At 40.9% G+C, this 26016-nt stretch overlaps 1 protein-coding gene across 21 annotated transcripts in view; it reads right to left on the reverse strand.

Annotated features, from left to right (window-relative positions):
• The window catches only part of HECTD1 (HECT domain E3 ubiquitin protein ligase 1), a 107677-nt gene that overhangs the window by 73766 nt on the left and 7895 nt on the right, over positions 1 to 26016 (reverse strand). For all 21 annotated transcript variants that reach the window (XR_001750215.3, XM_017021153.2, XM_047431208.1 and 18 more), the window contains exons 3-4: positions 4138 to 4372; positions 1029 to 1256 (exon numbers count right to left, since the gene is read on the reverse strand). Coding sequence is in view for 20 of the 21 variants with exons in the window: in XM_017021153.2 (XP_016876642.1) it covers positions 1029 to 1256; positions 4138 to 4372 (463 nt within the window). In the remaining variant the exon portion in view is untranslated. The remainder of the gene's footprint in view (positions 1 to 1028; positions 1257 to 4137; positions 4373 to 26016) is intronic.

Here is a 26016-nt window from a genome sequence, read left to right on the forward strand (position 1 = left end):
TATAAGAAAGGCAACTGCAGCAAAGTGATTAAGCATGTGATCTGCCTATTGAATCGTGGCTCCATATACTGCTAACTGTGTAATCCGAGGAAGTTACTTAAACTGCTTAAGGCCTCAGTTCCCTCATTTGTAAAATGGGGATATTAATGGTACCTATATCTCATTGTGTTAGCTTAAATGAGGTAACACATATAAAGAATCTAGATGGATAATAAAAGCTCAAAAATATTAACTATTATTATGTGTACCTTTGTCATGATAATCTATGATATCAACTGAAAATAACATCTGAACAATAAAAAGTCATTAAAAGCCAAGTTTTATTTTCTAAAGTATGCTAATTCAATAAGGATTTACAGATAAGATTATAAATACTGTCTTATGCCTGGCACAGTGGCTCACGCCTGTAATCCCAGCACTTGGGGAGACTGAGGTGGACAGATCACAAGGTCAGGAGTTCAAGAACAGCCTGGCCAATATGGTGAAACCCTGTCTCTACTAAAAATACAAAAATTAACCAGGCGTGGTGGTGGGCACCTGTCGTACCAGCTACTTGGGAGGCTGAGGCAGGACAATCGCTTGAACCCGGGAGGCAGAGGTTCCAGTGAGCCAAGATCATGCCACTGCACTCCACCCTGGGTGACAGATCAAGACTCCATCTCAAAAAAAAAATAATAAAAATAAAAAATACCGTCTTATTTAAATGAGATCTATCTTAAGTCAACAAAATCAGGTCAACAAAATTGCACCAAGTCAGCAAAATTACACTCAGTACAAGTACAGCTGTAAAAACATTTTTATGATATTTAAATTTTAAGAATAAACATATATCACACTTATAATCTTAAAAGTTTCATTCCCAAAATGGAGATTACCACATGCAGAGATAAAATTAGAGAAAGAGGATGGAATTACCTCGATTTCATCAAGTGAAAAGCACAAATTACAGTCTATCATAATTATAAACAGGGGAACACTAAAAAAATCACTTTCTGAAAATGGAAAGTATGTAACAGCAACTTATTTACCTGATGATCTTCATGCTTTAATAAACTAGACAGAGATTCTACACAAATTTCTAAAGAAGAATCTTGAGGCTCCATTTTGCCACAGAGTCTTGATACCACAGCCATAGCAGAGTGCAAGGTGTCTTTATGAACTAGATGTCCACTGTCACGAATGAAGGTAAGCACACAATTCAAACCACCAGCCTCAAAGACTGCTCCTGACTCACGAGTACATATCAGTTCTAATACCTATAATAGTAAAACAAATGTAACGAAAGAATGCAAGCCTGATTTTCAAGAATCACAGAAACAATGCGCTCTCCAAATTTATTAGTGACACATTAAAAACAGAAAAGTGAAACAAATGAAATTAATTTTAATAATACATTTTAGATGGGTGTGGTAGCTCACACCTGTGATCCCAGCACTTTGGGAGGCCAAGGTTGGCAGTTCGCTTGAGCCCAGAAGTTCAAGACTAACCTGGGCAACACGGCAAAACCTGATGTCTACAAAACATACAAAAAATTAGCCAGGCATAGTAGTGGCATGTGCTATAGTCCCAGCTACTCAGGAGGTTGAGGTGAGAGGATCACTTGAGCCCAGGAGGTCAAGGCTGCAGTGAGCCATTATCGCCCATTGCATTCCCATCCTGGGCAAGAGAGTGAGACTCTGTCTCAAAAAATAATAGTAACAGCTGGGCATGGTGGCTCACGCCTGTAATCCCAACACGTTGGGAGGCCGAGGCGGGTGGATCACTTGAGGTCAGGAGTCCAAGACCAGCCTGACCAACATGGAGAAAACCTGTCTCTACTAAAAAATATCAAATTAGCCGGGCATGGTGGCGCATGCCTCTAATCCCAGCTACTCGGGAGGCTGAGGCAGGAGAATCATTTGAACCTGGGAGGCGGAGGTTGTCGTGAGCCGAGATCGCGCCACTGCACTCCAGCCTGGGCAACAAGAGTGAAACTCTGTCTCAAAAAAAAAAAATAATAATAATAATATTTTTTATTTAACCCAATATATCCAGGCATCATCATTTCAACATGAAATCAATATAGAAAATTACTGATATATATTATAGTCTTTTATGTATAGTCTTTAAAAATGCATGTATACTTTATACTTATAATGCATCTCTATTTGGAGTGGCCACATTTGAAGTGTTCAATAGACTTATTTGGCTACCATATTGGACAGTGCAGGTTTAGAAAGTGACATCTGTATGGCAAGGTAAAGAACTACAAGTAATTTAGCAAAAGCTCATAATAATACTCTAACACTATTTGTCTTTTTCATTATCATTCTCATGAGTCTAGGGTAGCATTTTCCAGAAGCTAAGCATGATGTGATACTGTACAAGACTGAATGCAAAAGCAGACAGGAGGATCCAGCTGTCTACTGTAAAAACAGAGTGTTCTTAAGAGACTTGCAAAAATGCCTAACAATTCCAGTCTTCTCACTAACTTTGTTTATTTAAAAAGGTTATTTTTCATTAACCTGTTATGTATAACATGTAATTAATTTATTTTAAGATAAATAAATACTTTAAATTTATCAGTTTCAGTATCTAATATGGTAAATAAATAGACAAAACCTATATGAACAAAAGCTCTTTGGGTATCCTCAATTATTTAAGACTTGTAAGGGGATCCTGAGACAAAAAATTTGAGAACTGCTGACCTAAAGCAGCAAAAATTATAAAAAGAATGAAGCAGAAATCATTAAAAAAAAAAAAAAACAAGAAAAGAAAAAAGAATCAGGGGCCAGTCACAGTGACTCAAGCCTGTAATCCCAGCAGCACTTTGGGAAGCCGAGGCAGGTAGATCACCTGAGGTCAGGAGTTCGAGACCAGCCTGGCCAACATGGTGAAACCCCATCTCTACTAAAAATACAAAAAATTAGCCGCGCATGGTGGCACGCGCCTGTAGTCCCACCTACTCAGGAGGCTAAGGCAGGAGAACCGCTTGAACCCAGGAGGCAGAGGTTGCAGTGAGCTGAGACTGCACCACTGCACTCCAGCCTGGGAGACAGAGCAAGACTATCTCTCAAAAAAAAAAAAAAAAAAAAAATCATGTAAAATCTCAATGTATTCACCACAAATAGTTCCAAAAAAGTATGGATCTAGCACTAATGCTTTTAGAGTTACATAAAGACAACAGCTTACTTTACAGGGAATATAGCAAAATAGTTAAATCCCTGGGCCCTAGAACCAAACTTCCTAATCTTCAAATTCCTAAACTTCAAGTCTTGACTCTTCTGCTCACTACTCCCAAGTATGTTCCTTAACCTCAGCATACTTGAATTTCTTTCATCTGTAACAGAGAAATGATAATATTCGGCTGGGGGTGGTGGCTGACACCTACAATCCCAGCACTTTGGGAGGCCAAGGCAGGGGGATCACAAGGTCAGGAGTTCAGGACCAGCCCGGCCAACACAGTGAAACTCCATCTCTACTAAAAATACAAAACAAATTAGCCGGGCGTGGTGGTGGGCACCTGTAGTCCCAGCTACTTGGGAGACTGAGGCAGGAGAACCGCTGGAACTGGGAGGTGGAGGTTGCAGTGAGTCAACATCGTGCCACTACACCCCAGCCTGGGAGACACAGCAACTGTCTCAAAAACAATAATAATAATAATAATAATAATACTATTCCTGGCACCAACCTATCCCATATAGGGTTGCTGTGAAGATTAAATGAGTTAATACCTTAAAGTGCTTAGAATAATGTCTAGCACTGGTGGGTGGTGTTTGTTGTGGTGGTGATTGTTACTATTATAATACAAAATGATTTGGGTAAGAACAGGGATAACCTATCTCTAAGTGACTACCAGGAACTGAAGTGCACTGAAGCAGCACATAACATAGCAATCACCTACAGTTTTCCTTCTAAGATAAGATTTCTTTTCGCAAGTCCCATGGAACCTCCTTTGGTGCCACAAGTGTTGTGATTTCCACTGTTCTCAACTACTCTCAATAAAGTAAGACTGAAGATAGGAAGAATTTTTTTTTTTAGAAATTTTTTTTTTTTAGTAAATACATTTTTCAGTCTCTAAGTGATGTTTAAATGAGCCAATACTCATCCCTGAGAGGTCTGAGAAAAATAAGTAATGAGCCAATAAGTAATACTTACCTTTACACACTGTTCGGCTAAGTCTCTGCTAGTCCTGTTGTTAAGTTCAACTACAACCAAACGATTACAAAGTGCTTTTATAGCTCCATCTACCCCAACAATCCTTCGGGTACATTCCGCAGATACATCCAGGTAGTATGTTATGGCACGGGCTGTCACCTCTAATACATTGTCTGGAGCACTTTCATCAAGAAAAATTTTGCAAAGGGCTGGTAAGAAAGTGCGAGGAGGACATCTGTAGTGAAAGAAATCATATTACATCTAGGGTTATTAAATTCTTAACAGCAAAATATTAACAAAATAATAGAAAATAAAAAGTTATAATGTAACACACTGTGCTCAATACTGTGTCTGAATGTTTATTAGGTAATATTTCTCACATTGTTTTTGCTTCCATAACAATACTCACATGCTAATTTCATCGCTGCTGAGAATACCAAGGTGTAAATGGTTTAAAACAGCAGCATTAACTTGAAAGCATGTTTAAAAAAAAAAAAAATGGCCAGGCATGGTGGCCCATGCCTATAATCCCAGCACTTTGGGAGGCCGAGGCGGGCAGATCACCTGAGGTCAGGAGTTCAAGACCAGCCTGCCCAACATGGCGAAACCTCATCTGTACTAAAAATGCAAAAAATCAGCCGGGCGTGGTGACAGGCACCTGTAGTCCCAGCTACTCAGGAGGCTGAGGCAGGAGAATCCCTTCCGGGAGATGGAGGTTGCAGTGAGCCGAGATTACGCCACTGTACTCCAGCCTGGGCAACGAGAGCAAAACAAACTCTGTTTCAAAGAAAAAAAAAAAAAAAAAATTCAGCGCTCACCTCAAACATGAACTGCTCTATGAAACCCTCCTTAAGCTCCCAAATACTTAAGTGGTACTTTCATGTTCCTTAACCCTCATAAAAGCAGCACATACACTGTTTAATGTATCACTTTATTTCCTTATTCACTTAAAATCCCAGAAGGCCAGGAACACTGCTCAATTCATATTTTTCAGAAAGAAGCACTGATTTGGGGTCTAAAAGACTGGGGTGAAAAAAAGAACAGCAACTGTGTGACTTTTCTGCGTCTGTTTCCTTACTTATAAAGCATAAGTAATAGCTAAATAACACCTACTTTAGGTCAGGCACAGTGGCTCATGCCTGTAATCCTTGCACTTTGGGAGGCCGAGGCAGGCAGATCACTTGAGGTCAGGAGTTCAAGAACAGACTGGCCAACACAGTAAAACCCCGTCTCTACTAAAAATACAAAAATTAGCTGGGCATGGTGGCACATGCCTGTAGTCCCAGCTACTTGGGAGGCTGAGGCAGGAAAATCACTCAAGCCCAGGACAGGGAGGTTGAAGTGAGCTGATATTGCGCCACTGCACTCCAGCCTGGGTGACAGAGCAAGACTACATCTCAAAATAAATACATAAAATAAAATAAAATAAAATAAAACAAAATAAAATAAATAATAATACTTTATATGGTTATGAAGATTAAATGAAATCATACACATTAAAAACAGCTCAGTGCCTAGCATATTAAACTAAACTTTAGCCCCCATCCTCTCCCTTTAACAGTCTAATGCTTATTACACAAACCTGTCCAAGATAGTTCCATCAAAAACAGAATTTTTGAGATATCATTAATACTCCCTATATTTTATCAACACTTAAAATATGAAAAGATCATAATTTACATTTAGTAGAAATCTCAGCTATGTGACATCAAATACATTATTCTAGTTTCTCTAGACAGACTAAACTACAGCTACAGACAACACAAAGGGTAATACCCTCAACATTTTAATGGAATAATTTATCTTCCTATTCTTAGTGTATGCAAATGAGTACTTCCCATACCTTTAGTAGCCTTTAAGAAATATCTGTATGAGGCCAGGCCCGGTGGCTCACGCCTGTAATCCTTGCACTTTGGGAGGCTGAGGCAGGTGGATCACCTGAGGTCAGGAGTTCAAGACCAGCCTGGCCAACATGATGAAATCCCGTCTCTACTAAAAATACAAAATAATTAGCCGGGTATAGTGGCAAGCACCTGTAATCCCAGCTACTCAGGAGGCTAAGGCAGGAGAATTGCTTGAACCTGGGAGGTGGAGGTTGCAGTGAGCTGAGATCATGCCACTGCCTGGGCAACAAGAGCAAAACTCCGTCTTAAAAAAAAAAAATCTGTATGAATGTTAAAGTATATCTAATTCTATGGTTTAATATCTGCTTAGATGATTCTTAACTTAAAGGGTCCAGAAGAAAGAATACTGTTAAAAAAATTTTAGGGCCCGTATGGCGGCTCACACTTGCAGTCTCAGCACTTTGGGAGGCTGAGGCAGTTCAAGATCAGCTTGGCAACATGGCAAGACTCACTATTAAAAAAATACATAAAAATAAAAAAATTTTAGAAGACATCTTTCATGCAATGACTGAGTAATCATTGATTAAACACAGGTTTTTGTTTGTTTTTTGATAGTCTCGTTCTGTTGACCAGTGCAGTGGCATAATCTTGGCTCACTGCAGCCTCTGTCTCCCATGTTCAAGCAATTCTTGTGCCTCAACCTCCAGGGTAGCTAGGATTACAGGCACACGCCACCACACACAGCTAATTTTTGTATTTTTACTAGAGATGGGGTTTCACCATGTTGGCCAGGCTGGTATTGAACTCCTGGCCTCAAGTGATCTACCCACCTCAACCTCCAAAAGTGCTGGGATTACAGGCATGAGCCACTCCACCCAGCCAGAGGTGTTTTTTACTAGCCAGCAACACTGGCAACCTATGACATATAGTCATTTGTAATATTTCTAAGTCAGGAATTAAATGCCTTGAGGCTAGGTTGTAAGAGCTAGTCCAGCAGTTCTCAGGTAAGGTCACAAAACTGCCTAGCATATCAGAATCTTAAGCCTTGTTAGAGCATACTACATATGCTCTATATATGCATATGTAGTAGATGGAAGAAATGAAAAGAGACTGTTAAAGTGTTAATACTAAAGAAAAAACACAGTCTAAAAGAGTAATGTGTTTTCTTTAGAAAATAGTAGTTTTTTGAATAAAGAATAAAATGAAGTTGATAGTCCAAGTATCAAATGACAAGAATAGATTTACCATATGCTTTATAGTAATACAATTATTCATCCATTTTTCTTACCCAGGGTAAAAACTGTACATCAAAAAAAAAATAAAATTTAAGAGCAATGCTTAGTATAAACTTAATACATTTCATGGGGGAATGTAGTATTTGCTAATTTGGGGAATAATAGTTCCTGCTGTGTTCCCTAAAATGCGATGCATTTCCTGAACAAGTATAGTTAAAGAGCCAGTTTAGGCTGGGTGCAGTGGATCACTCTGTAATCCCATCACTTTGGGAAGCCAAGATGCTCCCATCTTGAGTGCTTGAGTCCAGGACTTCAAGAACAGCCTGGGCATCACAAGGAGACTTCATCTCTACAAAAAAATGAAAAACCAAGCCAGGCTGGTAGTGTGCACCTGTGGTCCCAGCTACTCGGGAGGCTGAGGCAGGAAGCTCATGTGAATCCAGGAAATCAAGGCTACAGTGAGCCATGATCGCACCTGTGCACTCCAGCCTGGGTGACAGAGCAAGACCCTGTCTCAAAAGAAAAAAAAAAAAAAACAACAACAAAAAAACAGAGCCAGTTTCAAAAAGGTCAAAACCCAGAAAGCTCTAACCTCATAGGGTATCAGATTTTAATTGTGATCAACTGTGTTCCTAAGAAATATCTGTTGTGCCTTGGCTATTGGACAGAAAAACCAATTTGTTTTTTTAGCTGTTGAGTTACTTTTTCAACAGTAACAAGGTATCCGGGGCATATTCCTACATACGTAAAATGCACTTTTTTTTATATCAAGGTTTCAAGGAAAATCAAAGAATGTCTTTTTCTTTTTTTTTTTTTTGACAGTCTCGCTCTGTCACCCAGGCTGGAGTGCAGTGACACCATTTCGGCTCACTGCAACCTCCGCTTCCTGGGGTCAAGTAATTCTCCTGCCTCAGCCTCCTGAGTAGTTGGGACTACAGGCACCTAACACATGCCCGGCTAATTTTTGTATTTTTAGTAGAGAATGGGGTTTCACCATGTTGGCCAGGCTGATCTAGAACTTCTGACCTCAAATGATCTACCCATCTAGGCCTCCCAAAGTGCTGGGGTTACAGATGTGAGCCACTGCGCCCAGCCTCTTTTTTTTTTTTCCAGACAGGGTCTTGCTCTGTCGCCCAGGCTGGAGTGCAGTGGTGTAATCATGGCTTACTGCAGCCTCAACCTTCTAGGCTCAACCTTCCTCCCACCTCAGCCTCCCAAGTAGCTGGGACCACAGGTGTATGCCAACACGCCGAGCTAGTTTTTAAAAATTTTTTTGTAGAGATGCAGTTTTGCCATGTTGCCCAGGCTGGTCTCGAACTCCTGAGCTCAAGCAATCTGTCCACCTCAGCCTCCCAAAGTGCTGGGATTACAGGCATGAGCCACTGTGTCCAGCCAATATTCCTATTAAACTAGTTACATGATAATGAGATTTTTCTTTCTGTGAGTTTTGCTAATAAAAACTCACATTACTGGCCAGGCGCAATGGCTCACGCCTGTAATCCCAGCACTTTGGGAGGCCGAGGCGGGCAGATCACTTGAGCTAAGGAGTTCGAGCCCAGCCTGGCCAACATGGTGAAGTCTCATCTCTACTAAGAATATAAAAATTAGCCAGCATGGTGGTGTGCGCCTGTAGTCCCAGCTACTTGAGAGGCTGAGGCAGAAGAATGGCATGAACCCGGGAGGCAGAGCTTGCAGTGAGCCAAGATCAAGACACTGCACTCCAGCCTGGGCAATAGAGTGAGACTCTGTCTCAGAAATTAATAATTAAAAAAAAAAAAACTCACATTACTATAAGCTACTATTATGAATACATTAATTGCCAATGCAAAAGGAAATCAGCTGGATTAGGCAGACTCCTTTCATTTACGTGGTATTTCCTGTAATACAGCCACTGATTTACGGCAAATACAGCCAAATTCTTGAAAATTATCTCTTTAATACGAAAACTTAACTAAAATTTACTTTACACACAAAAAAGGTAAAAAAAAATCCCAGATTCCTAAAAATAAAGCAAGAAATTTGATGTAAAACTCAGTAACCCTCTAGCAATCAGTATGTGAAAACATATACATTAAAAAAAATAAATTATATAGAATTTGTTATATTTTATTTAAAATATACATAAATATAATTATACTGTATTTATGTGAAATGTATTAGCAAAAAGGTTTACATGAGTAACAAATTTTTGAAAGTTAACTCAAAGTTAATATACTTGGATACCTCTCATGCTAACAATACTTACCTAACAGAACAGGTAAATTTGCTCTAAAGTTTATTCTGTTATAAATTCAGTTGCTCATAAGTGAGGTTTTAAAAATAACAGGTTTTTTTCTTAAGGGATTCAAGTGTATATTATTTCCCCTTTATCTGTTAATTTATAATAGACTAGCATAGCAAATAAAATTTGCAACACATGAAATTATAGTGTATGAAACTCAAGATGGGTCAAAATTATCTGAAGTGAACAATGTTAAATTCAGTCTTCAGAGAAGAGAAATTCTGCTGAACTCAGTGGAGGGCCTTTTAAGTCAAAAACTATTCCAATAATTTTGTGTCATCACTACTCAACTTAAAACTTATGAGAATTCTTGAAATAGTAAAATTTTGTCTTTTTTTTTTTTTTTAAGACAGGGTCCCACTCTGTCACCCAAGCTAAAGTGCAGTGGCGCGATCTTGGCTCACTGTATCCTTGACCTCCCAGGCTCAAGCAATCCTCTCAAATCAGCCTCCCAAGTAGCTGGGACCACAGGCATGCACCACCATACCCAGTTAATTTTTTTATTTTTGGTAGAGACAAGTTCTTGCTATGTTGCCCAGGCTAGTCTTGAACTCCTGGGCTCCAGCAATCTTCCCATCTCGGACTCCTAAAGTGCTGGGATTACAGGTGTGAGCCACCACACCTTGCCCAAAATAATAAAATTTTAAGTGGTTATAAAGACATATTATTCAAGTGAAAATAGATGTAATCATTATCTTACACATAATTCTAAAAACTTTTCTTTAAAACAACTTTAAAACACTATTAGAAGATTCCTAACAAAAGTACTCAATTAAAATACAGGTTAAGCCATGCACAGTAGCTCACTGCTGTAATCCTAGCTACTCAGAAGGCTGAGGCAGGATGATCACTTGAGCCCAGGATTTCTAGACCAGCCTAGGCAAGATAGGGAGACCCGTCTCTAAAAAAAAGATTAAAAAATTAGCCAGCTGGGTGCAGTGGCTCACACCTGTAATCCCAGCACTTTGGGAGGCCGAGCCAGGTGGATCTCTTGAGCTCCTAAGAGTTTGAGACCAGGCTGGACAACAAAGTGAGACCCTGTCACTACAAAAAATACAAAAAGCCAGGCATGGAGGCGTGCACCTGTGGTCCCAGCTACTTGGGAGGCTGAGGTGGGAGGATGGCTTGAGTCTGAGAGGCAGAGGTTGCAGTGAGCCAAGATCACGCCACTGCACTCTAGCCTGGGTAAGCCACACCCTGTCTCAAAAAAAAATTAGCTGGCATAGTGGCGCATGCCTGCAGTCGCAGCTATTTGGGAGGCTGAGGCAAGAGGATCACTTGAGCCCAGGAGTTCAAGGCTGCAGTGAGCCATGATCACGCACAATGCACTTTAGCCTGGGCAACAGAGTAAGATTCTCTTAAAAAATATATGTATACACAGACATACACATACACACACATATGCATATAGGTTAATAGTATTTATTCACAACTGAAAAGCCAATTACAAAATCTCAAAAATCTAACTATAAATCAAGCAAAGACATTGGGAAGAAAATGCCAACATTAATTACTGAATTCTAAAAAATACAGATAGTTGAGAGAATTGTATTACCTGAAAGTTCACATTGAAACTAAAAAAAATAACAAGTGTCATTTCCTAATAGATACTTGGCTGGATATTCTGCTTTAATACAGCCATTGTAATTTAAACAGATAAGATTTAAAAACTGATGCTTCTGGCCGGGCGCGGTGGCTCACGCCTGTAATACCAGCATTTTGGGAGGCCAAGGAGGACGGATCATGAGGTCAGGAGATCGAGACCATCCTGGCTAACACGGTGAAACCCCATCTCCACTAAAAATACAAAAAATTAGCTGGGTGTGGTGGCAGGCGCCTGTAGTTCCAGCTACTTGGGAGGCTGAGGCAGAATGGTGTGAACCTAGGAGGCGAAGCTTGCAGTGAGCCGAGATCGCACCACTGCACTCTAGCCTGGGCGACAGACAAAGAGAGACTCAGTCTCAAAACAAAAAACAGAAAAAAAAAAAACCTGATGCTTCCACTGTTAGGGAATTTCATAGCATCATTTTCAGAGAAACCCTGTGTTGACAGATAATTCAACTTGAGGCCAGGCATGGTGGCTGATGCCTGTAATCCCAGCACTTTGGGAGGCTGATGTGGGCAGGTCACTTGAGCCCAGGAGTTCGAGACCATCCTGGGCAACATGGTAAAACCTGGTCTCTACAAAAAACACAAAATTTAGCAGGTGTGGGGACACGTGCCTGAGGTCCCAGCTACTCAGGAGGCTGAGATGGGAAGATCACATGAGCCCAGGGAGGTCCAGGCTGCAGTGAGCCATAATTGTACATTGTACTCCAGCCTGGGCAACAAAGTGAGACCCTGTTTAAAAAAAAAAAGAAGATAATTCAACTTGACCTTTGTGGTTATTGGACAAGCACTCGACTACCTTCTATGAGCAAAACTCTCAAATCCCTTGCCCCATTTCTGGCTAAATGAACGACCCCCCACATTCCCTAGGTCTGAATCTATGTCAACAGGGATTGACAAAGAAAAAATATTCACATTATCAGGAAATTTGACCTTGCTATAAATTTACGATCACCAACCTTAAATGAGCACAATACCTAATAATTCTGCTACATTTCTTTCACGGTCTGGAATGAGTATTTTCTTCAATTTTCTCTCGATTTATGACTCCCCTGGTTTTCCACTCTAGCTTCCTTCCTAGATTCCCTCGTCATCTTTCCTATCTCTTTAATTACCTTTTTAATGGATTTCATCCATTCTCTTAGTTCATACACCACAAATATAAATCTCATCCACATATCACAAAAACTCCCTAAGTATTTTCTCCACCCTAGACTGACTCAATATCACTATCTCCATTTAGAAATATCACAGGCATCTTAAAATGAGTATATTCAAAACAAAACTCCTGATGTGTGCCTCTATTCCCAAATCTCCATCATAGTAAATGTCAACCATCCAGAAAGCCAAAAAGCTGAGAATCATTCTTGATTTCCCCCCATTTCACACCCAACCCATCAGTTAAATCCCACCAATTAGGCCAGGCATGGTGGCTCACACTTGTAATCCCAGCACTTTGGGAGGCCGAGCCGGGTGGATCACCTGAGGTCAGGAGTACGTGACCAGCCTGACCAACATGGTGAAACCCCATCTCTACTAAAAATACAAAAATTAGATAGGCGTGGTGGCACGTGTCTGTTATCCCAGCTACTGGGGAGGCTGAGGCATGAGAACTGCCTGAACCCAGGAGGCAGAGGTTGTAGTGAGCTGACATCACGCCACTGCACTCCAGCCTGGGCAACAAGAACGAAACTCGGTCTCAAAAAAAAAAAAAAAAAAAAATCCCACCAATTAAGCCCTCCAAAATATATCCTATGGGCCAGGCACAGTGGCTCATGTCTGTAATCCTAGCACTTTGGGAGGCTGAGGTGGGCAGATCACTTGAGGCAAATTCGAGACCAGCCTGGCCAACATGCGAAACCCCGTCTCTATTAAAAATACAAAAATCAGCCGGACGTGGTGGCACATGCCTGTAATCCCAGCTACTCGGGAGGCTGAGGCAGGAGAATCACTTGAACCTGGGAGGTGGAGGTTGCAGTGAGCCGAGATCGCACTACTGCACTCCAGCCTAGGCGAAAGAGCGAGAGAGACTCTGTCTCCAAAAAAAAAAAAAAAAAAAAAAAAACACCCAAAAAACAGGCCTGGCGTGGTGGCTCACGCCTGTAATCCCAGCACTTTGGGAGGCCAACGTGGGCAGATCACCTGGCTTACAGAGTTCGAGACCAGCCTCGCCAATGTGGCAAAACCTCGTCTCTACTAAAAAACACAAAAAATCAAATTAGCAAGGGGCAGTGGCTTGTGCCTGTAGTCCCAGCTCCCTGCTGGGAGGCTGAGGCAGGAGAATTGCTTGAACCCTGGAGGTGGAAGGGGCAGTGAGCCAAGATCACGCCACTGCATTTCAGCCTGGACGACAGAGTGAGACTTTCTCAAAAATAAAATAAAAGTAAATTAAATTAAAATAACCTCTAATCTAAGCCAACTTCAAAGTCTGGTTTGCACTACTGAAATAACCTCTTATACATCTACATAAGAGCTATGTCCAGCACTGGCACTGAGGAGCAGCATATCTGGAAAGAAGAGGAGATCATTCTGGTATAGGATATTACAGCATGAGCAAAGTGAACAGGACATTTGTGCAATGGAATGTCCCAGTGATGGGCAATTGATACATACAGAAGAATTGATCAAATAAATATATGAAGGATAATGGGAAGGATAATGTTTCTCACTGAAGGAAAAGAGAACTGAAAATACAGAAAGAGAAAACTAGCATGAGCCCTGTGGTGTTAGATTAGAACTAGAGATACTTGTATGAACTCATGGTTTTTTGTTTTTCTTTGTTGTTGTTGATTTTTGAAACGGAGTCTCACTCTATCACCGGAGTGCAGTGGCACAATCTCATCTCACTGCCTTCTGGGTTCAAGCAATTCTCCTGCCTCAGCCTCCCAAGGAGATGGGACTACAGGCACAAGCCACTGGGCCTGGCTAATTTTATTTTTGTATTTTTTAGTAGAGACGGGGTTTCACCATGTTGGCTAGGCTGGTCTCAAACTCCAGACCTCAGGTGATCTGCCCACCTTGGCCTCCCAAAGAGATGGTATTACAGGCGTGAGTCACCACACCTGGCCTGAACACATGGGTTTCAAAATATAGAGACAGCTGTAGATAGATAGATAGATAGATAGATAGATAGATAGATAGATAGATAGATAGATAGACAGACAGATAAAAGCTAATGTGTGTGCTGTTCCATCTGTCTAAAATCCTTTTCCCCTAACTCTTTCCAAAGCTAGCTCTTTGTTATTCTTCCTTTTTTTTTTTTTTTTGAGACAGAGTCTTGCTCTGTCGCCCAGGCTGGAGTGCAGTGACACAATCTCAGCTCACTTCAACCTCTGCCTCCTGCGTTCAAGCGATTCTCTTGCCTCAGCCTCCCAAGTAGCTAGGATTACAGGCGCCTGCCACCACACCTGGCTAATTTTTGTATTTTTAGTAGAGACGAGGTTTCACCATATTGGCCAGGGTGGTCTCAATCTCCTGACCTTGTGATACACCCGCCACGGCCTCCCAAGGTACTGGGATTACAGGCGTGAGAAACCGCGCCCGGCCTTGTTATTCTTTCTATCTCAGCCTAAATGTCACCTCCTAGACTTTTAGACTACATTCCCTAACTACCCCAAACAGACCTGTTTTTTTCTCTTTAGAATTTATATTTTATTTCTTCTTATCCATTGTAACTCTCTCCTAAAAGCTCCTCAGGACTAGGGATTTATTTCATACAGCACACAGCAGAGTTTCCTGCACAGAAGTGACACTAGCCTTTTACATGCTGAATAACTTTTTTCTGCATCCAGAATGAGAAGCCAAATGAAAAGAATTCCTTCAGCTCCCTTAATGAACTCCACCACACATGCCCAATCCCTCACAAATATACCCCCATCCCTCCATACACAACTTCATCCTGGCCCAATTCCCACAGGGTCACCCACCTCACTCTACCCACCTGCCCCCAACTTTCCCACAACACAAACAACTGAATCCACTTCCATCTCTCATTTCCCATAGTAAAGCAAAATGTCAACTCTAGCCTCTAGCCCAAACTGCTCTTCTAAATAACAGAACTGCAGACACAACTGCCTCCCCTACTCATCTACTGCCACCTGGATATGTTTCAGGAGCCTTCAAACATAACTTGCCCAAAACTAAAAGACGCTTCTCTACCAAAAGCCATATTACGCATATCCTCTAACCTACCATATGCCTAGTCACTCAAGTAAAATTCATAAAAGTTTTCCAGAACTCTTGTTTCTAAAATACAAAATCTAAGACTTAATCTTGTTGGTTCTACCTCCTAACTCGGTTTAGTATCTGTCCTTAGAATTCCAACCCTCCTCACTTCTTTTTTGTATTACTACCACAGCTTCCTAACCAGAATCTCTCACTAGATTCTCCAGTCCATTCACCATTCTATTACCTATTACCAAAGATATATTTTTAAAACACAAATCTGTTAATTTCATATCCTTCAGTACCCTGAGGATAAAATCCAAATGCATCAGCCAGGCACAGTGGCTCACACCATTAATCCCAGCACTTTGGGAGGCCAAGGTGGGATTGCTTGAGCCCAGGAGTTCAAGACCAGCCTGGGCAACATAGCGAGATCCCATCTCTACAAAAATTTTAAATAATTAGCTGGGCATGGTGGTGTATGCCTATAGTCCCAGCTACCGGATGGGGGTTAGAGGGCTGAGGTAGGAGGATCACTCGAGCCCAGGAGGTAGAGGCTGCAGTGAGCTGCATTCCAGCCTGGATGAGAGTGAGACCCTGTCTTAGAAAAGATGCTTGAGGAATTACATGATAAGGCAGCTAGTATTTTCCAATGATGTCCACAACATTATCTACCTCCCACCCCACATAATCTTTTTTAAAATGTGACTTTGATAGTCTTCCCTATGAGAGGGCCTGAGTTCTTTCCTCTTGAATCCGAGCAGGCTTATGATTATAGTGAAAGTGACCACTGTGTGACTTCAAATGCTAACTCAATGAACAAGATGATACAGCTTCTGCTGCATTCTTTTGGGACTCATGCTCTTAGAACCCAGTCACCATCCTGTGAGGAAGCCTAAGCAGCCACATTGAGAGTCCACATGTAGGTGTTTCAACTAAAAAATCTAGGCAAGGTCCCAGCTAGAAGCCAGGCTCGACCACATGCAACAGAACAAATCATCTGGTGATTCTAGTGCCTAAGTGTCAAGTCACTTCCCATCTTTGAGATTTCCTAGCTGAGGTCCCAGATATCGCAGAACAGAGACAAGCCATCTCCACTCTACCCTTTCCAGTTTCCAAAATCCAGATAATCTGTTAGCATAATTCTTGTTTAATACTACTAACTTTGGGGTGATCTGTCACACAGCAATAAGTAACTGATATAAATGATCCACAAGTATTGTGGTGCGGCTGGAAATCAGAGCCAAAGGGCAAAAGATCAGGATGAACTCACCGAGTCCAGATTGTGTCTTAGCTTTTTTCTGAGTACAAAGCAATAAAATGAAAATACCATAGAAACATATAATGTACAAAGTGAAAGTCCCCATAATTTCAACCAAAGAGGTAATACTGTATCTAAAGATTGATGAGTGTTAGTCCTTTTCTTGTTTTGTTTTGAATTCTAAGAGAGTCAGTCCTACTCTGTAGGCCAGACTGGAGTAGGATGGCACAATTACAGCTCACTGCAGCCTTAAACACCATATGCTTGGCTAACTTTTTTTTTATTTTTTGTAGAGATGGGGGTCTCACTATGTTGCCCAGGCTGGTCTCAAACTCCTGGGCTCAAGCAATCCTCCCACCTTGGCCTCCCAAGTGTGGGGAGTCGCTGCGCCAGGCCCTATTTTTTATACATTGATTTTTTTAAGAGATAAGTTCTCTCTCTGTTGCCCAGACTGGTCTCCGACTCCTGGCCTCAAATGATCCTCCCACTTCAGCCTCCCAAAGTGCTGCGATTACAGACATGCCCCACTGCACCCCACCTTTTTTGGTTTTGTTTTTTAAAAAGACAGTGTCTCACTCTGTCACTTAGGCTGGAGTACAGTTGTGCAATCATAACTCCCTGCTACCCGGATGTTTCAGGAGCTCCAAACTCCTGGGCTCAAGCAATCCTCCTGCCTCAGCCTCCCAAAGCACTGGGGTTACAGACCTGAGTCACTGCGCCTGGCCTCATTTTTCCATATACTTAAACATTTTATGTTTTCGTAATTCACAAGTAGAACCATACTATAAATACTATCCCATAATTTGCTTATTTCCTTAGTATGTTATGACCGGCCAGGTGCAGTGGCTCACGCCTGTAATCCTAGCACTTTGGGAGGCCGAGGCAGGCAGATGGCTTTAGCTCAGGAGTTCCAGACCAGCCTGGGCAACACAGCAAAACTCTGTCTCTACAATAAATACAAAAATAAGCCGGGTATGGTGGCACATGCCTGTAATCCCAGCTAGTCAGGAGGCTGAGGCAGGGAAAAATGGCTTGAGCCTGGGAGGTCAAGGCTGCAGTGAGCCAAGATGACACCACTGCACTCCAGCCTGGGCTGGAGATGGGGTTTCTCCGTATGGACCAGACCCTGTCTCAAAAAAAAAAAAAAAAAATTACTAACTGATTGAAATACATATATAACATCAAACTTTGTAGGATACAACTAAAGTAGTATATAAAGAAAAATTTATGGCATTAAATGCTTCAGGCCTCAAACCCCAGCTTTCAAAAATCAAACCCCAGCTTTCACTTAAGAAAACAGAGAAGGGCTGGCGTGGTGGCTCACGCATGTAATCCCAGCACTTTGGGAGGTCGAGGCAGGCGGATCACCTGAGGTTGGGAGTTAGAGACCAGCCTGACCAACATGGAGAAAACCCCGTCTCTGCTAAAAATACAAAAAAAAAAAAAATTAGCCAGATGTGGTGGTGCATGCCTGTAATCCCAGCTACTCAGGAAGCTGAGGTAGGAGAATCGATTGAACTCGGGAGGCAGAGGTTGCAGTGAGCCGAGATCACACCATTGCACTCCAGCCTGGGCAACAAAAGCAAAACTCCATCTCAAAAAAAAGAAAGAAAGAAAGAAAAACAGAGAAAAAGGCCAGGTGTGGTGGCTCACGTGTGTAATCCCAGCACTTTGGGACACTGAGACAGGTGGATCACCTGAGGTAGGTGGATCACCTCAGGTCAGGAGTTCAAGATCAGCCTGGACAAGTTGGTGAAATCCCATCTCTACTAAAAATACAAAAATTAGCCGGGTGTGGTCTTGAGCGCCTGTAATCCGCTGAGGTAGGAGGACAATCGCTTGAACCCAGGACCTGGAGCTTGCAGTGAGCCAACATCCCTGTCACTGCACTCCAGCCTGGGTGACAGAGCGAGACTCTGTCTCAAAAAAAAAAAAAAAAAGAAAGAAAGAAAACAGAGGGAAAAAGAGCAAATTAAACCCAAAACCAAAGCAGAAAGCAATAATAAAGAACAGAAATCAATAAAACTTTAAACAGAAAAATAGGGAAAATGAATGAAGCCAAAAGCTGGTTCTTGGAAAAGGTTCTTGGACAATGGCTAAATCTCTAGTCAGATTAACCAAAATAAAAAGGATAAAAATAACCAGTATCAGGATGAAAAAGGGGTTTATCACTAAAGACCCTACAGATATCAAAAGGATAAAAGGGAATATCACAAACAACTCTATGCCCATAAATTTAAATTCAGATTAAACAGACAAATTCCTTACAAGACATTCTACTGGCCGAGCGTGGTGGTTCATGCCTATAATCTCAGCACTTTGGGAGGCCAAGGCAGGCAGATCACCTGAGGTCAGGAGTTCAAGACCAGCCTGGCTAACATGGTGAAATTCCGTTTCTACTAAAAACGCAAAAAATTAGCCGGGTGTGGTGACAGGCGCCTGTAATCCCAGCTACTCAGGAGACCGAGGCAGGAGAATCACTTGAACCCAGGAGGCGGAGGTTGCAGTGAGCCAAGATCACACCACTGCACTCCAGCCTGGCGGCAGAGCGAGACTCCACCTCAAAAAAAAATAAAGTAAGACATGCTACCAAAACTCACGCAAGCAGCATTAGATAACCTGGATAATCCTATATCTATCACATAAACTAAATTAGAAGTAAAAACCTTCGAACATAAAAATTTATTCTCTTATGAATTGTGCTTTTGGTGCTTATCTAAAGAAATATTTGCATAACGCAAGGTCACAATGAATTTCTCCTATGTTTTCTTCTAGAAGTTTTATAGTTTTAGGTTTTACAACTAGATCTATGATTCATCTGGGTTTTTAAAAATATATATAGTGTGAGATAGTATCAAAGTTAAACTTACTGCATATGGATATCCAATTGTTTCAGCATCACAAAAAAAACTATCCTTTTTCTACTGAACTGCCTTTGTACCTTTGTCAAAATAAGTTTTCCATATATGTGGAAGTCTATTTCTGAACTCTATATTCTGTTCCACAGTACTATTTGTCTATGTTTATATCAATACCACATTGTCTTTATTACTGTAGCTGTATAATAAATATTGAAATATAGACTAGTGTTAGTTCCCAACTTTGTTCTTCATAAAAGTTGTTTTGGCAAGCATAAGTCCTTTGCATTTCCATATAAATTTTGAAATACGTTTTTCAATTTCTACATCTTGTTGAATTTATCTCCAAGAATTTCAGAATAAAAACTTATGGCTGGACGTGGTAGCTCACGCCTGTAATCCCAGCACTTTGGGAGGCTGAGGCAGGCAGATCACCTGAGGTCAGGAGTTCGAGACCAGCCTGGCCAACATGGTAAAATCCTGTTCCTACTAAAAATACAAAAATTAGCCGGGCATGGTGGCGGGCACCTGTAATCCCAGCAACTTGGGAGGCTGAGGCAGAAGAATCGGTTGAACCCGGGAGGTGGAGGTTGCAGTGAGCCAAGATCACGCCACTGCACTCCAGCCTGGGCAACAAGAGCAAAACTCTGTCTCAAAAAACAAATAAATAAATAAATATTTTTTAAAAGCTTATGTTCTCACACACACACAAAATCTATACACTACTGTTTATAGCAGTTTAGGTCATAATCACCAAAACATCCATGAAAAGGAATATTACTTAGCAACTAAAGAGAATGAACTATTGACACAATAGCAACACAGATGAATCTCAAATGCGATATGCTAAGTGAAAGAAATCAGACTCAAAAAACTACGTATTGTATATATGATTCCATTTACATGACATTCTAGAAAAGTCAAAACTATATCAACAGAAAACAGGCCACCAAGTGCCAGGCATTGGGATGGGGAAAGGGTTTGAGTTCAAAGGGACAGCACTAGATGATGTTTCAAAGTGATGGAAATGTTCTGCATTTCAATTATAGTGGTGGTTACATGACTCATAGCAATGTACAATAATAAAAAGCTAACTTCCCCGTATGTAATTTAAACAAATTTAAGAAAAAGTTAACTATCATTCATAGAATAATCACAGCCCTCCCTGAATAATGCTAAAATGATACTTCTAGGCACAAAATTTTATATATAATTACAGTTGCTCAAAATTTTAAGCTTGCCAAGTATTTACCTCTTACATTACAGGTAGAAATTCTTCTTTTTTATTATCTTAACGTGAGTACTATATTATTAATATAATACCAATAGATTAGGAAGCCTATTTAGGAAACTTTAGGATCAATCAGTCTATACAGAACTCCTGTCAGAGTAGTCAACCACACAAGTGAGATTATGAAGAATCTTCAGATGACTCCAAATTAGGCACTGGTTTCCAAAATGCTACCTGTAAAGACATCAGAATCTTTCCCTGATGGAAGCAATAAAAAAAGGTTACATGAGGTTCCAAAGAGAAAGAATTTCCCTGGGAACTGTAATATTTTCTGTATTATAACTACCATATGCTTTTTTCACTTGAACTTGGGCCAAGATTTCAGAAGATTGGCAAAGACATGAAAGAATATAACTGTTTTTAAAAAAAATAAAGGGCATTATCTGTAGTAGAGATATTTTATAAAATAGTCTGTAAATCAGGCACTTCATTTTAAAAAAATGAAATATTTTAACTGAAAAACCTGAACACATCTGGTTTCTTAAAGACAATAAATAACGCAACATCTTTTGATCCATTTCATATTCCATTTTTGCCTCTGCTCCCAGCCTTGACTTTCTTGGTATTGCTGAGCTAAAAATAACTCCTGGTACAGCAGCTGAAAATTGTGGTTTTCCCTTGCAAAGAAAAAGGGGGTAAAGTCCAATTATAAGATGTAAGTTTGCTTTTCTCCAATTAAAATACACATACAAATTTGACTGCAATTCATTCAACACATCTATTGAATGCCTTTCTACACCAAGTGCTATGCTAAGTGTTGGGGGTGGGACACAAAGATGAGTAAGAAAGAGTTCACTGACTCTGAAGAATTCAATCTAATGATACAGTCAAGAACTATGCAAAGTACACTTACAAAGCGTTATAAAACACAATGTCATACCCATAAATAAAAATGATAAAAATCTATCTCTGATAAATTTTCCTTGTATTTTTCCTGTTGAAACTATTAAGAGTGGTTTTTAACTTTTTTTTTTTTTGAGACAAGGTCTCACTCTGTAGCCCAGGCTGCAGCACAGTGGTGCAATTTCGGCTCACTGCAACCTCCGCCTCCCAGGGTCAAGCAATTCTCCTGCCTCAGACTCCCAAGTAGCTGAGATTACAGGCGCATGCCACCAGACCTCTGCTAATTTTTGTATTTTTAGTAGAGATGGGGTTTCACCATATTGGCCAGACTGGTCTCAAACTCGCGACATCAGGTGATCCACCCGCCCTGGCCTCCCATAGTGCTGGGATTACAGGCATGAGCCACCAGTGGAGCCTGGCCTCTACATTTTTTTAGCTGACAGAAACTCTGGTAATCGTCACAAAAGCTCCCTGAATTTAATCACCTATGGACCCCCTGGAGTCCCAGGTAAACCCTCACAGACAGTGTTTCTCATTCCAGCACTTCTCTCTGCTGTCCACTGAAAAGAAGCACATACACAGTTGCTGTCTGTTTACAGGAATTCATTTAACTTTTTTTTTTTTTTTGAGACGGAGTCTCACTCTGTCTCCCAGGCTGGAGTGTGGTAGTGCAATCTGGGCTCACTGCAACCTACACCTCCCGAGTTCAAGCGATTCTCGTGCCTCAGCCTCCTGAGAAGCTGGGATTACAGGAATGTGCCACCACACCCTGCTAATTTTTCTATTTTTAGTAGGGAGGGGGTTTCTTCGCCATGTTGGCCAGGTTGGACTTGTACTCCGGAATTTAAGTCATCCACCTGACTCAGCCTCCCAAAGTATCGGGATTACAAGCATGAGCCACCGTGTTCAGCTCATTTATTTAACTCTTGAGGATTATACATATTTGATATATCAATGAACATTCCTTCTCCAGTAAAGGGTCAGGGCTGATCAACAAAAGTAATTCATTTCCCTATTACTCTGCCATTGGGTAGAAGAAAACAGGTCAATATAGAAAAGGCAGGTACAGGTCGGGCGCAGTGGCTCACACCTGTAATCCCAGCACTTTGGGAGGCCGAGGCGGGAGGATCACGAGGTCAGGAGTTCGAGACCAGCCTGGCCTATATGGTGAAACCCTGTCTCTACTAAAAAATACAAAAATTGGCTGGGCATGGTGGTGTGCGCCTGTAGTCCCAGCTACTCAGAAGGCTAAGGCAGAAGCATTGCTTGAACCCGGGAGGCAGAGGTTACAGTGAGCCGAGATTGCGCCACTGCACTCCAGCCTACACGACAGAGCAAGACTCCGTCTCAAAACAAAAAAAAAAAAAAGAAAGAAAAGGCAGGTATATTAATGGTAGAAAGTAAGGAAAGTACTTATTGATACTGTATCTGCTAAAAAAAAAAACAAAAAAGAATACAATACTCTTCCTCCTGCATACTAACAACAAGTTTCTCAACTCCACAAATACCTTCCATGGGCATTTTAGGCATTAGGTGGAAAACAGGTCCAATATAAGCAATCTCTTCAATTCACTCCTTCAGTATCTGGATATTAGCTATTTGTGTGCCAGGCACTATGCTTAGCAATGGGAAAACAAAGACGAGCTCGTAGTCCAGTGGAGAACTGAAAGTATAGTAAAGTGGAAGTAGTGTATACATGTGAGAATATGCAGGAGGGGTCTTTGAAGACATTTAAATTTGATCCTGTAGGTGAAGAACCCAACAGATTCTGTAAAAGGGAGTAGCACAGGCAAATCAATTTTTAAGACTATAACTCAGGGCCAGGCACCGTGGCTGGTCTCGAACTCCTGACCTCAACTGATCCACCCACCTCGGCCTCCCAAAGTGCTGGGACTGCAGATAGGCATGAGCCACCACGCCCAGTCCCAGCCCTTAACTTTTTACCATCAAACCCAAAACATGTGCATCTAACGTCTCTATCTTCTCTGTTACAACGGCAGTACACAACTTCTTTCTGCCTAAAACCAATCTCTCCACCAGTGGATCAGGGTTTTGCTACTCAAGGTGGGATTTTCTGACCAACAGTTTCTGCATAATCTAGGACCATATTAGAAATGCAGAATATCAAGCTTCATATAAGACCAACTGAATCAGAATATGCATTTTAACATGATCCCCAGGTGACTCTCATTATGCACATTAAAATTTAAGAAGCACTGCTTCTATACAAAAGCCAATTCTCTCCCAGTTTTTCAGAATCCTTACCCTAGGGATTATTCACTCTCTTTCTTATCTCTTTGACCTTTAAAAGAAAAAACCCCACACTCCTTTTCCAATTCAATTCTTCAAAAAAGTTTCCACATGTCCTCCATTTCATGTTCCACTCACTCCTCAACCCATTCAGATCTGCCCCTCACCACCACTCCACTCAGCTCTCATTAAGATCAATGACCTTGAGAATGTTGCTAAATCTAAAGGACATCTTTTCATCTAACCCCTACTTGACCTCTCACTAGTATTCAAAACAATTGCCCTTTCTCTTCTTGAATCACTTTCTTTCCTGTGTTGACATGCGCACTAATGATGCAAAAGCAATAGTGGATAAAACTGCAGGTGCTTTAACATGAATCAAGGCAGTAGCCCTAACCTGTACTAGATAACTGTATTCTTCACTGCCAAGCACTGGTATTAAGAAAAAAGCCAGTTTCACTAAAGAATAAACTAGATGAAGCAAAATTATTAAATTTACTAAATCTCAACCCCTGAAGATACATCTTTTCAATATTCTACTTAAAGGAAATGGGAATTAATTATAAAGCACTGCATACGGAAGAATAATGGCAAAGTACATACTTGAGGACTGAACTAGCCACTTTTTTCTTGCAACACCATTTTTACTTGAAGGACTATCAGACAAACTGATCATTCAGACTTGGCTATCTGGCAAACATTTTTTCAAAATTTAATCACGTATGCCTTTCATTTCAAGGAAAACGATCAACTGTATTTGTTGCCAATCATAACACTCAACTTTACAAGCAAAAATGACATTTTTGGAAAACTTGTATTTGACACCATGAGCTTGAAAGCTTCTGAATATTTAAAAACTTGTCTGATGAGAGTGGTAGTCATATTGACAAATAAGACTTTTTGGCACTGTGGAATGAGATATGTCCACATTTGGAAAATCTGTGTAACTCAGTGGACTGATATTTTCCACATGACCAATGCATAATTTTTGCAAAAGTAAACATGGGTAAAACAGTCACTCAAAGTATAAGACAGACCATCAGATTTTAATGTAACAGAGTGAGTATAAGTTCACTGATATGATATCAGAATCCACATTATAACTAATCCTGGTAGGGTGCAGTGGCTCATGCCTGTAATCCAGTACTTTGGGAGGCCAAGGCAGGTGCATCACTTGAGGTAAGGAGTTCGAGGCCAGCCTGACCAACATAAAATACTAAAAATAAAAAAAATTATTCCAGTGTGGTTGTCTGCGCCTGTAGTCCCAGCTACTCAGGAGGCTAAGGCGGGAGAACTGCTTGAATCTAGGAGGTGGAGGTTGCAGTGAGCCAAGATCGCACCACTACACTCCAACCTGGGTGCGAGAATCTGCCTCGAAGAAAAAAAAAAAAAAAAAAACAGAATCCACATTATAACTAATCCTTAAGAAACTATCACTTGTTGAATTTTGACATGTTATCAAAGAAGCATATCCATGATTACGTTAAAAAATATAATATTCTTCTTCCCTTTCCCAAATACATCTGTGGATGATTTTTTCATATATTTCAATCAAAATAACATAATGCAACAAACTGAATGCAGAAGCAGATATGAGAATCCAGCTATCTTCCATTAAGGCAGACTTTAAGGAGATTTGCAAAAATGTAAATTAATGCCTCTATTCTCCCAAAATGTTTTCTTTTAAAAAAGTTATTTTTCACAAAAAAATTTTAACATGTAAGGGGTTTATTATTATAATTTTTTTTTTTTTTTTTGAGACAGAGTCTTGCTCTGTCGCCCAGGCTGGAGTGCAGTGGGGCGATCTCGGCTCACTGCAAGCTCCGCCTCCTGGGTTCTGACCTGAGGTCAGGAGTTCAAGATCAGCCTGGCCAACATGGTGAAACTCCGTCTCTACTAAAACTACAAAAATTAGCTGGACACGGTGGCGCACACCTGTAATCCCAGCTACTAGGGAGGCTGATGCTGGAGAATCACTTGAACCCAGGAGGCAGAGGTTGCAGTGAGCCAAGATTGTGCCACTGCACTCCAGCCTGGGTGACAGAGCAAGACTCCATCTCAAAAAAAAAAAAAAAAAAAAAAAAACAACTTCCCAGTTTCATTCTGAATATGGCAAATAGCAGTAAGCATACTAACATAAACAAAAGTTCTTCAGGATCCACAATAATTTTTAAGAGCTTAAGGAAGTCCTGAGACCATAGAGTTTAAGCATCACTGCCCTAGATCTCAATCACATCCCATGGC

This window comes from Homo sapiens, chromosome 14, assembly GCF_000001405.40.
Source record: "Homo sapiens chromosome 14, GRCh38.p14 Primary Assembly".
In the NCBI taxonomy this organism is placed as follows: Eukaryota; Metazoa; Chordata; class Mammalia; order Primates; family Hominidae; genus Homo; species Homo sapiens.